The sequence below is a fragment of the Homo sapiens genome, chromosome 13 (assembly GCF_000001405.40).
Source record: "Homo sapiens chromosome 13, GRCh38.p14 Primary Assembly".
NCBI lineage: Eukaryota > Metazoa > Chordata > Mammalia > Primates > Hominidae > Homo > Homo sapiens.
Window position 1 is genome coordinate 74,550,243 of NC_000013.11, and position 12,875 is coordinate 74,563,117.

The following is a 12,875-nucleotide window of genomic DNA, read 5'->3' on the forward strand; positions in this document are numbered from 1 at the left end:
GGAAGGATGTGGGAACTATGTAGTAAGAGGTTGGTTAACCAATACAAAAGTACAGCTAGACAGGAAGAATAGGTTAAGTGTTCTATCACACAATAGGCTGACTACAGTTAACAACTTATTGTATATTTTCAAATAGCTAGACGAGTGGATTTTAAATGTTCCCAACACAAAGAAACGATAAATGTTTGAAATGATGGATGTGATAATCACCCTGATGTAATCATTACACCTTGTAAACAGGTACCAAAATCTCACACCTTACCCCATAAATATGTTCAATTTATGCGTAATTAAAAATAATAATAAGACCAGGCACAGTGGCCCACGCCTGTAATCCCAGTGCTTTGGGTGGCTAAGGCAGGAGGATCATGTGAGCTCAGGAGTTGGAGGCTGCAGTGAACCATGATCTTTCCTTTTCATTGTACTCCAGCCTGGGGGACAGAGTGAGAACCTGTCTAAAAAAAAAAAAAAAAAAAAAAAAAAAAAAAAAAAAAAAGATAACTAAAAAGATAACTGGGTAGGAAAGTAAATGTAATTGGATAGGCTACTGGGTGGGGAATTTAATTTCTTGCACTGGACAGTAGGTATCCACAAATACTTGTTTATTTATTCCTTGTAACCCTAACTATGTCTGAAGTATTTATTTTATTGTTATTTTTCTACTCCTGTGACAGATTATGAAATGTTTTATTTTTAAAAGGACCAATGGGTAAAGGGGGATATTTAACAAATTAGGAAAATTTGTCTTTTGGAAGAAAACACAAATTAGAGTTTTCTTTGCATAGAGATTTCTAGATATTACCAATATTTCCAATATTCCTCCTTTCTGTGGACATACTATGTTTTGCAGAGCTACATTTATCTTTCTGATCAATGGGCTCTGATAAATTAATTAGGAGCCAGTGAATGATTGTCCATGCTCTTTCCTCTGTTGCAGACACCTGTGTCTAGAAAGACGGAACGCCAAGTTTTGCAGCGGGAACTCATTTGGTAAGACTGTCCCCTCTGATAATGTGCGAGGCAGAATGTGTACCCAATGAATGTGTGTCTCTAGTGTGAGATCTCGCAAAGCAGGTATTTATCTGTGCTGGTCGCTATGGGCTGTATTTGATAAGGAATTATAAGAAAAACAGTTCTGAAAAGTATTATCTGTTTGCCAGCAAGAATGAAAGGAAATAGTTCAGATATTTGGGGTCTTGAATGAGTTAAACCAGTAATTGCTTTCAATCCTAAATGGTAAAAGAGAAAATGTTAAAAGACTTTAAAATTGAGCTGGTTCAAAAACAAACAAACAAACAACAACAACAAAAATAAATAATAGATTTAAACTGAACTTTTACTTATAAAAAGGAATTAATGAGATAAAAATGCCTTAGGGTAAAGATCAAACTAAGGGCCTGAGGCCCAGTAATCTTTTCAATCGGAAAAATAGCTCAGGTAAAAGAGCTTAAGGGTTCCATTCTCTCATCAAATCCAGATAGACTCAGGAAAACTACCAGGTCTTCAAGCAGGGAGAGGTACAGGCACAAGAGTGTAAAGAAATACGGATGAAGTAAGAAGTGTGTTAGGTAAAGAATCGTAGCTGTAATTATTGGCACATGGAATTAATTGGAATCCAATAGCTTAGAAAAACCAACAAAGTTTTAAGAGAGTTGTATTGCTTAAGAAACTGTGAGCCTGCACTAAAAGTGTTTGAGACTCTAAAACAAGGTGTCCAATCTTTTGGCTTCCCTGGGCCACACTGGAAGAAGAATTGTCTAACTAACTAACACTAGTGATAGGTGATAAGCAAAACCAAAAACCAAAAAACAAACAAAAACCAAAAAAAAAAAAAAAAACCTCAAAATGTTTTAAGAAAGTTTACAAATTTGTGTTAGGCTGCATTCAAAGCTGCCCTGGGCGGCTTGCTAAAACACCTCTCGGGCCCTGGGTAGGAAGTAGGCTAAGAAAACTTCATATTCTCTAGTATCTATTTTATATGAGCCCAAGAAGGGAGAAAGGAAAGGACAAATATCTCCCTGAGGGTGGAGACAGAAGACACAGAGAACAAGAACCAAGTTGAATCCTCCAGGAGAGCAGAGTCCGGGCCTCGTGAAGGTAGGGGGCTCAAAAAACGTCTGCCTGGAAGGACAGAATTTTTCAGCAACAGGGACTCCTGTTTCCTTTTTCAATTACGAGATGTGTAAGTGCCAGATAACTTGTCATTTTAGTTGCTAGGTTTCCAAAGCTATGGGAGCTACCTATAGACTTGACATAGAGAGTACAGTATGCAGTAGGCCCTTTGTATCCAAGGATTCAACCAACTGTGGATGGAAAATATTTTTTAAAAACCCAATAAAAACAATATAACAATAAAAACTAATGTAAATAAAACAATATAGTATTAACTATTTACATAGTATTTACATTGTATTAGGTGTTGAAAGTTATATAAAGAGGATTTAAAGTATATGGAAGGATATGTATAAGTTATGTGCAAATACTGCACCATTTTATATCAGCGATTTGAGCATCTGTGGATTTGATATCTATGCGGGTCCTGGAACCAAGCCCCCATGGATACGGAAGGACAATTCTATCACTCAGAGATTCTGAATTCTGGACTTTGAGCTCAATGCCATGACTGAGGAAGACCACGGGGTTTTCTCTCTTAGAGGGGAGGTGAGTATAATTGTCATACATATCTATACCAGAGGGAGACTGCACTGAATATTTGGAGAAACAAAAGGGTAAATTGTGGCAGATACTACCAGTCCTTAGCAATATTTCCAGTTCTCCTTTTTCACTCCTCTAGTCAGTAGGCCGTAGCTAGATGACTGGTCCCGTAGCCCGGCTGTGTCTATCAGGAGGCAATGCATGATTTCCCAGCCCAAAGTACATGAGAGATGATGGACCCATTTCCCACATTCTCCTCCTCTTCCACAGTGAACCCAGAGCTTTGAGTTGAGATGGGGGTGCCATAAGATTGAAGTACTCTGAAAAACAGAGCTTAAAGGCTTTTAACAGGTGAAAGTGCGGTCCAAATTCTTAATTTGTTTTTGTTGTTGTTGTTGTTGTTGTTGTGGAGGGCATCTATCCAAAAGCTTTCAGGACACACATGAACTTTACACGAGCAAGGAAAAAAATGTGTGCTCAGATACTGAGATGTTAGTGTTTTTGATAATATAGCCTGATCTCATACATACATTTATCTTAGACCATTCTATGCTAAATACATACATTCACACAGACAAACATATGTGCATACATATCTAATGGATTAGTTAAAAGAAAATACATTTCAACTTTTAAACCCAGAAAATGTAAGTAAATATTTAACTTATCTCAAGTGAAGACTTTACACATAATGTCGTGAAAACAACACAAGTGAAAAAGTAGATCTGACTACTTGCAAATAACACTTTTGAACATCAGAAATATCAACAACTTAATGAAAATTAATGACATGCTGGGGGAAAACATTTTTGCAATAGAGGGTTTATGTCCTAATATATAAGAGGCTCTTAAAAATGAGTATCTTAAAATATCAGCATCACACACACACACACACACACACACACACACACACAGACAAAGAATATAAACATAATTCTTCCAATTTATAAAAACAGAAATACAGACAGATATCTTCCAAAGCCATCAGAATTTGAACCAGTGATGAGGAGCACATTTGCTTTCCTGCCCAATTAACAGTCATAGAAGATCACCTGAACTGCCCCTGGGGTGTGGATATGCACCCTGAAAATATTTGGCATACCAGAGCATAGTTGGATGTGTATATACATAATTGTGAAAATAAATTGTTTTAGATTTTAATATTTTTCCTTGTGTCTAACTTTCTTTAAGCACCAACAATTTTTAAAAATATAAAAATATTATAAATATTTGTGTGAGGCAAGAGGAATATTGTTGGGTCTTCTAGTTACAAACCATAGGATCTTAGAGATAACAATGAACATTCCCAAAAGCTCCCATTTAGGAAGTTTTTGGTTGATGGCATGACCCTTGAAGGGATCTGACTTCCTGAGAGAGTGACTCATAAATAATTACTCCTTTTTATGATACAAATATTTTTGAAGAACAGCTAAAGTCTTCATTAAAAAAGCATTATGCTCCTATGAGATTTCCCCATGCCTAAGATTAATATCACAGTTGAGGAGACCTGAGTATTTTTTGTTACCTTACAATTGTACATAAATAATTATTTTATGCAGTGCCATAGGTTAAATGCATATCATGAAATTCACTTTCCTCCCGATTGCCATTTATGTCACTTAATTCAATGAAAGTCCACAAAAATACAGTATGACTCAGAATATTGGAGCTGTGGCTAAGCAAGAAAAGTTCATTCAAAATTGATTTTCTTTCAGGAATCCTTGATATTCTTCATTCCAATTGTTCACCTCTACTGTAGGGCTCAGTAAACACTTAAGGAAGTTGCCGTGCACTGCAGCCTGCCGGAGACATGAAGGAATGTACGGGAGGATAATCGCAACATCATCAACCCAATTCTCCAAGGTAGCTGGCCAATAATGCTGTTCTAATTGAATAACTTATCCACAGCTATTTCCCCTGGGAAAGCCGAAGGCTCAGCCTCGGCAAAGAGGCAGATGGTGCCGCATATACAATGAAACCTGTAATTTTTTCTTGCCATTGGACATGTTAACAGTGGGCTGTTTCTGCTTATTCCTTAGTATTTTATTTTAATAGTCCCTTCCCAAATTACAATGTACAATAAAGCAGCCAAAGACGGATTCAGTGATACATATCATATTTAATTTATCATTCCTCTAGCTCACTGAACAACTCACTTGGTAGTCAGCAGCAGTATATGTCAGGGACAGGTGCAAGCTGAAAAGAAAGCAACAGAAAAGGACCCAATGAAAACCAAAAGGGGAGATGAGTCTTCAGGGTGGCATGGCATTCACTAGCAGCAAAGTGTGCAATGTCAAACACATTCTAATTCTGATTTTTTTTAACAGTAATTTGCCATGGGACAGGCACACCCCATGTGTTTGGGAAGACAATGGGAAGGTTCTGTTTTCTGCTCCAAGACTGATTCAACCAGTTGGATCTGGAAGGGGATAAAGGGCTGTGTGGCTGCTTGATTTTCATTGTCTAGTGGCAGCCAAAATTGGAAAAGAGAGAAGTGCAGACTTTAAAGACAAGCAGCGACAGCTCATCAGCAGTCTAACAACACGACAGATGACAGGCCCAGAGGCACACCCAGGGCCGCCAGCCCATCACCCTGTGCAGGATGTCAAAGAGCAGCTGCAGCAAAGGAAGAAGATCATCCAGACTTAAATGTTTGGGCCTTGCTAAGACCATAGAGTCTTTGTGCTTTGGAAACAGTCCTCCATACAAAGACCCCTTCCTAGAAAAGAGTGGAAAGAAACCAAGGTGGAATGGATACAACAGAAAGGAGACCATGCTAATATTCTTGTGCAATGCTTCCTGGGCAGAAATTATGTCATAAAGGATGTTCCATTCTGCAAAGCTATGTGTCTCTCTGTGGTTTGCCTCAGAGGAGGGGCCTTTCATAGCTGTAGTGAGTAAGGGGGCCCTTGCTGATGTTCATCAGATATGCCAAGGCACAGGAAGAAAGCATTGAGGTCACAGGGCAGCTCAGGTCCGCCTGTGGTAATTGAAAACAGGTGACGAGATTGGGTTGATTTTATTTTGGAAAAGTAAATTAGTGCTGCACCACTCGGACATGGCTAATTCATGAAGCCTCTGGTTTGTATTAGACACCCAACATGCCTTTCAGAAAGAAATGACACAACAATTAATGTGTCAAATAATAATGTGCCACTCGGAGAAAGATAATTGTACCCATCGTCAGGTAGTTATTAGGTCGAACGAATGCTCATCCTTTCAAAGGCAACAGCGTCTATTCATTCTGGCATCCTACTGTAAGTACAGTATTGTGTTCATAATCACACAGACTGAAGCCAGGAACACTGGGTTTTATCTGATTTTTCTCCATTTGGAATTGTACTCCGATGATTCCCTAAACAGCAAACTCAGTCATGTGAAACACAAATGAGTGTGATGAAAGACAGATTGTTATACTGCAGGAGAGGCTTTCTGTGCTTTTCACATAATATAGAGCATGAGGACTGTTCCCAAGAAGGTTTAAGCATATGTAACAAAAACTACCAGACCTGAATTTGCTCATGTGTAAATGATAGTCTTTCCTTCTGGTGATTTAATGCATGAGGACATCAATCAGTCACATCATGGCCTCAGAAGTCCTTGTTCAATTTCTGATGCCATAACTTACTCGATGTGGGATTTGGACAAGTCATTTAACTTCACTGCAATTCTGTTTCCCTCATTTGAAAAATAGAAATAGAAAAGCCTGCTGTATATTTAGGTCCACATCTGTTGGGGAGGTCAAAGAAGAAAGAATATGAAAAGTTGTTTGTAAATATAAAGAACCATGTAAATATAAGACATTGTTTTATTAATGCTCCAGATCAATTAACTTTCAGTGAATGATAAAATGTGACATCTTTTCAACAGAGACAGTTTTACTTAAGAAAAACTAGGCAATGGCTTCTGTCCTTACAAATGAAAAACTTCATAATAAATGGGGGCTCTCAAGACCACCTGGCCAAAACTGAACTAAATACTCACTTCATTCAACCAAGAATGAGGAACTGAAATACATGATTATTATATATGCATATGCTTCTGTTTCATCTACTTGGGCATGCTTGTGATGAGATATGAAAAATTAGCCATCTTTAGAAGGAAAGAAATATTGTATTTGGGGGTATTTCTTCTGTACAGACAATTGGCCTGGTTATTGTCTAAAGGTATTTAAAATTAATAAAATGCAATTTTATGCTACATAAAATACTCAAAGCAACCATATTTCAAGGTATGGCTTCTATACCTTGTCCTCCCCTGAAGATGCATTCTCAACCGATATCTTGACTATATGGACAACAAATCGTAAAAGAAAAATGTATAGTGTGGTGTTTGACGTTGAGTAGCTTATGATAGACATTCATACCTGTAAAGAGATCTCGTTAGGGGAAACAAACTAATATATAACAAACAGATAATTAAAGTAAGCAGTACTGAGACAGAGAAGAGTTGGTGACTTAGCCTGTTGAAGATAGACACTTTGCTAATTAGGATTAAAAAATATAGGCATATCTGCTCTAATATCATATAAATATTGCCAAAAAACTCTTGTATTCTGTAAAAGAATACCTAAAAACAAACAGAGCTGACAGGCAAAATAAGATTGGCGGTGTGAGCCCCACTTGAAATCTTTTTATAATTCTATCTTGAAAGTATTATTCCATTATATCCATCTTTAGATAATTAATTGAAGTAAATCACTAAGTCCGGTCCACTTCAAGAAGAAAGGGATTAAGAGAGAATTTGGGGGCTATCTTTGAAGCCATCACAGGCTATCTCTTAGAGGTAAAGGAGTGTTTAAGGAAGAAAAGACAACATAAATGGAGAGGCCCAAGAGTTGGTTCTCGGGATCATTAGATAATGGCAGCCACAGAGAGAGGCAGTGGCAATAATAATGAACAATCCAGCATAAGCCCTGTCCTCTCTTCCTGGAGGACAGAGAGAGGTGTTGGCAGTGGTCTTAGGTTTTAAGTGTGAAAATAAGTAATTCAAAATCTAAGCTGTTGGAATTATAAATTATTTTGAGCCTTAAAGGAATGTGATTACAAGGCCTGAGTTACATGGCAGGCAGCTGCAACCTAAGCAACTGTAATCTGTGTTCCTCTGATTATAGATTAGCCTTCTTCCTTACCTACACTGTTTTGTAAAATGCTGTAAATGACTAAAGGGCACCAGGGAAGCCTCCTTCCCTCTTCACCCTTGATCTCCATTATAGATTAACTTCCCTCTTACCTTTCTCACACAAAGAACTCATGGCTATCACATTGTCTTAAGATGAAATGTTAAATACACTTTTACAGTGGAAAGAACATGAAAGCCAACCCTACGGAAAAGAAAACAACCTAATTAAATTGTTGTAACTCATAAACCAGCCTTGTACATAAAATGTTATAATCTTACTAAACTTCTTTGTTTTCTGCCTATATAAACAAGAACTTAACTTTTGTCTTTGGGGCACTGACCTCATTTATCTGAAGTCTGTGTCTCCTGGATGGCAATTCCCAGGTTTTCACTCAAATAAGCTTTAAAACTGGATTCTAATCCTTTTGATTATTTCAGGTTGACAGAAGCAACTTGGGAGATGGGGTGGCAGGTCAGAGTCTCTTGAATTGTTTGGTAATTCCTGGCATAATTCTAAGGTATAAGCCAGCTGCTGTTTTGTCAAGTTATTCCCTGGAAAATGATCATTGTATTAAATACATGTACCATTTTAAAATACCAAATAATGATACGAAGGATGATTTTCTTAGGCCTGATCATCTCTTTCAGGCTTTGTGGTACTCATGCTTGCCATGAAAAACTATCCTAGAGAGTTATCCACTGTCCTGAGGTCCCTACATCATGTCTTCCTCCCAAGAATCATCCCCTATCCCGTGAGGTTTTCACATTTCCTCCTACTCCTGGGGAGATCTTTGTAATATTCTGATCTCTTATTTCACCTCCACTGATTTTTATTTCCTCCACAGTACCTTCATACATTTTCATAGGGCCATGGTCATATATATTGTATATGAGTAATTCTTGGGATAATACCAAGTCCAGGGCCCTACCCCAGACAATTAATTCAGAATCTCTGATTATTCTAACGGGCAGCTAGAATTGAGAAACCCTAATCTCCGAAATCTCGATTTTAAGCATCCTATCCCCCAGCCATTACTTTCTACTCATTCTCATTCAAACACCCTCAGCCCCATTTCAATTATTTTTTAACCTTATAATGACCTCTAATCCATTGACACTTTGACAATTCATCTCTCTTCTCTTGTCCTCACCTTTTATGTACTACACTATAGTTCGACACTACATAGCCACGTCTATTCAGGGTTCATAATATCCTGGTCATTCTATTTATTACGCATGCCTCACAAAATTTCAACTTTGGTTAAATTAACTACCCACTTAGTTCATGTTGGCATTCAAGCAGCAGAATATTGCCAAGGAAAATCACACAAGTATGTAGAATGGTCTTATTTCAAATTATTATCAAAAGTTCATATGGACCCTTGACATTGCAAGATGTCTCTCTACACTTTCCTAGTTATATAACTTTCCTGATTCTTCTAGATGATTATGATATACCACCTCTATAGTGGGTTGAATGGTATCCTCCAAAATACGTCCAAGTCCGAACTCCCAGTACCTGCGAATTTGACCTTTTGGGAAAATAGGGTCTTCTTGCAGGTATAATTAAAGATCTCAGAATGAAATGATCCTGGATTTAGGGTGTGCACTATATACAATGACAGGTGACCTTATAAGAGATAGGAAAGGAAAATTGGAAACACAGAGGCCTAGGGAAGACTGCTATGTGAAAAAGAAAACAAATTAGAGTTACGTTGCCACAAACCAAGGGATGCCAGGAGCTATCAAAGACTGGGATAGACAAGAGATGATTCTTCCACAGAGTCTTCAGAGGGGGGCGTGGCCATTCCAACACCTTGATTTTGGACTTCTGGCTTCCAGAATTGTCACAGAATAAATTTTAGTTGCTTTTAGCCTCTCAGTTTGTGGAATTTGCTATGGTGGTAGGAAACAAATACAACCTTTCATCTCAAAACTCCAATCCCTTCCTTTTCTCTAACTCCCCACCTTTGCCCCCACTCCCAGGATGAGTTGCATTTATTAATAAAATAGATGCAATCAGATGAAAACAATCTCTTGTTCCCACCAACCCCATATACCCACCTACATTTGTAGACCCCATCTGCCTTTTCTTGCTTTGGGGTTCCTCTTCTGTCAAAGGACCCCTGTCCACTAATTTTTTTTATTCAGTTATTATTGGGTGCAAGGGTAATTGCAGTTTTTGCCATTGAAAGTAATGGCAAAACTACAATTACTTTGGCACCAACCTAATAATATATGCCCAGTTACCCCCTCCTCTGCCCTGTACTATCACCAGTTGTCTACTAGATCATTTCTATTGGCTTAAAAACATGCCTTGATATTGTCTGTCTTAAAAGTGTATGCGTGTGTGCGTGTTTGTATAGTACATACTTTCGACCTTGACTTCATACCCCTCTCCAAATACTGTTTATTTTCTGTGCTCCCCTGACAGTTCCACTCCTTAAAAGAACTGTTCATATTTATTATTTCTACTTTCTCACTTCCCCTTTTCTGCCCAATTTATTTTGATCAAGTTTTTGTTTCTACCACTTCACTGAAAGACCTCCTATAATGATCTCTAATGTCTCGCATTTTGCTAAACCCAATGGCTAATTCTCTGTTTTCATTTTACTCAAACTTGCAGCAGTTGATGTAGTTCTCCACTTGCTCCTGTCACTTCCTGCTTCAGGCATTTGTAAATCTGACCTGTTATTATTGCCATGACAAGTTGAAATAATTGGGGAATGACATTTTTTTGAGGGGCTAGTAATTCTCACTTTTGTCTTTGTGCTTTTTGTTGTGTCTATTTAAAGCTTGATAGAGGGTTTGGGATTGATTGTTTTGCTTTTATTACAGTCATGTTCATGGACCAAATGTTCTAGGAACAAAAGGATATTAGACATGGCCTGGAAAGCCACAGTCTAGGACCAAAATAATTTAAGCAAAAATTGAATCTTTATTAGCAGGGGTTCACTGATGAGACATAAACATAAATTAAGATTGCTAAATACTGTAAATAAGGAAATTATCTATACTTTTCATATCTGTTATGCTTGTTTTTCTGTTTTAGTGGCAGATAAAGAATGTAGACAGATTCCATGCAAGTTCCCAGAGTAAGATTCTAAGTTGGGAACACATAGCTTAGTATCCAGAGTAGGGCTCTCCTACAGGTGATTTTATGATGCCAGATGTGAGACTTAGAAGAGAATCTGGTTTAACATGAATGTTTCTAAGTATTATCCTGAATATGACAACTGAAGACTGGTAGGAATCCAGATTAGTACTCAGAGGGAGCAGGAGTAGAGCTGCATGAAGGTGATTTGTGTCTTTGCTCATGAATATGGATTCTCCCCAGAGAGAGTTGGAGAAGGCTAAAGCAAACAATGAAGAAAGAAAAAGAGGGGGAGAGAGGACACAACAGGCACTGGCCACCAACAGACAAATAAATTGGTGTTTAAATATCCCTGCTCCTTTTCCTCCCTGGAGGGATAATGTTCCCTGTATTTTCCCCATGGGACTAATGGGATTCTCCATGTGACCATTGTGGAGGCAGACTTAATCATGCCCTCTTCCCCACTCCCTGCTCAAGTTCCTGTGTTTCCCAAATAACTTCATGCACGCAAAGTTTTGTTTCAGGGTCTGTTATGGAGGAGTGAATACTGAGACCCCACCTAAACTGATGAATGTCCTGGTACCAGGAGAGGGTATATACATGCTATGGGTCAAAATTCAAATGTTAAAACTCTACCTTGCAGTACTTCAGAATGTGACCTTATTTGGAAATGGGGTTGTTTGCAGATGTAATTAGTTAAGATTAAAGTGGGCCAATAATTCAATAGGACTGGAGTCCTTACAAAAAGGAGGCGATTTAGACACAGAGATAGACATGCACACTGGAAGAATGCCATGTGAACGCAAAGGCAGAGATCAGAGTTGCTATGTGTTGCATTGTATACCCCTACAATTTTTACGCTGAAGCCCTAACCTTTGAGGTGACTGTATTTGGAGATAGGTCCTACATGGAAGTAATGAAGATTATAAGAGTTCATAAGGGTGGGGCCCTAATCCTTAACTAATTACATCTGTAAACAACTGCATTTCTAATCCCCAATTAATTACATCTGCAATTCTACCGCAAGGTAGAATTTTAACATTTGAATTTTGACCCAATTGAATTTCTCCTGGGACCCTCTCCTGGGACCAGGACATCTGACAGTTTAGGTGATGTCTCAGTATTCATGCCTCCTTAGTTCTTTTAAGGATCTGTGTCCTGAAAAGAAGAGACACTATAAAAAGGGCTCTCTCTCTTTCTCCCTCTCTCTCTCTCATTCCCTGCCCCACAACCATTTCACTACCATGTGAAGACACAATGAGATGGCAGCCATCTACAAATGAAGAATACAGCCCACACTAGAACTGGAATCAACCCGTACCTTGATCTTGAGACTTTTCAGTCTCCAGATCTGTGAGAAATTTATTTCTGGGGTTTAAGCCACCCAGTCTGTAGTATTTTGTTCTGGCAGCTTGAGCTGATTAATGCAAGGGTGATGAGTCTACAAGTCAAGAAATGCCAAAGATTGCCAGAAAACCACCAAAAGCTAGGAGACAGGCATAGTATAGAGGTTGCTCATGGCCCTCAGAAGGAACCAACCTTGCTGACACCTTGATCTTGGACTTCTAGCCTCAGAAATGTGAGACAATAAGTTTCTGTTGTTTAAGCCACCAGGTTTGTGGAACTTTATAAGAGCAGCCCTACTAAATTAATATAACACATAACTGAAAGGTCATGGCGGTGGACAGACCTTAGACATTCTCTGTGGCCTTCAGCCCACCTGGGCCTGTATTTGAGTGTGTATCTACAGGAAAGCCAGAAACTGGAGTTAGATCTGAAACCTATTCCTGAGGACAGGATGTATGTCTGTTGTAGCCTAGACTTTGGCTGTGGGTTTTCTTATAACATTACCCCTGTCCCCTCTTTTCATATGTGGGGCTTTTATCTTATTCCTTGTTGTTTTCCTCATTACTCCCTTAGCAATATAGTATATGGAAATAACAGGACTTAGGAATTACAGCAAATTCCTTTAAGTAAATCTTTTACTTTCTTAAAAAACATAGAC

General features: G+C 38.4%; 1 long non-coding RNA gene across 2 annotated transcripts; it reads left to right on the forward strand.

The window, feature by feature from the left end:
* Nucleotides 1-2,600: 2,600 nt before the first annotated feature.
* Nucleotides 2,601-6,878, forward strand: LINC00347 (long intergenic non-protein coding RNA 347). Of its 2 annotated transcripts, none has more exons than NR_034024.1 (3): nucleotides 2,601-2,661; nucleotides 4,371-4,518; nucleotides 4,983-6,878. It is a non-coding gene; the product is annotated as a long intergenic non-protein coding RNA 347 (long non-coding RNA). The 2 variants fall into 2 exon arrangements; NR_034025.1 differs by having other exon boundaries at nucleotides 4,415-4,518.
* Nucleotides 6,879-12,875: the final 5,997 nt, after the last annotated feature.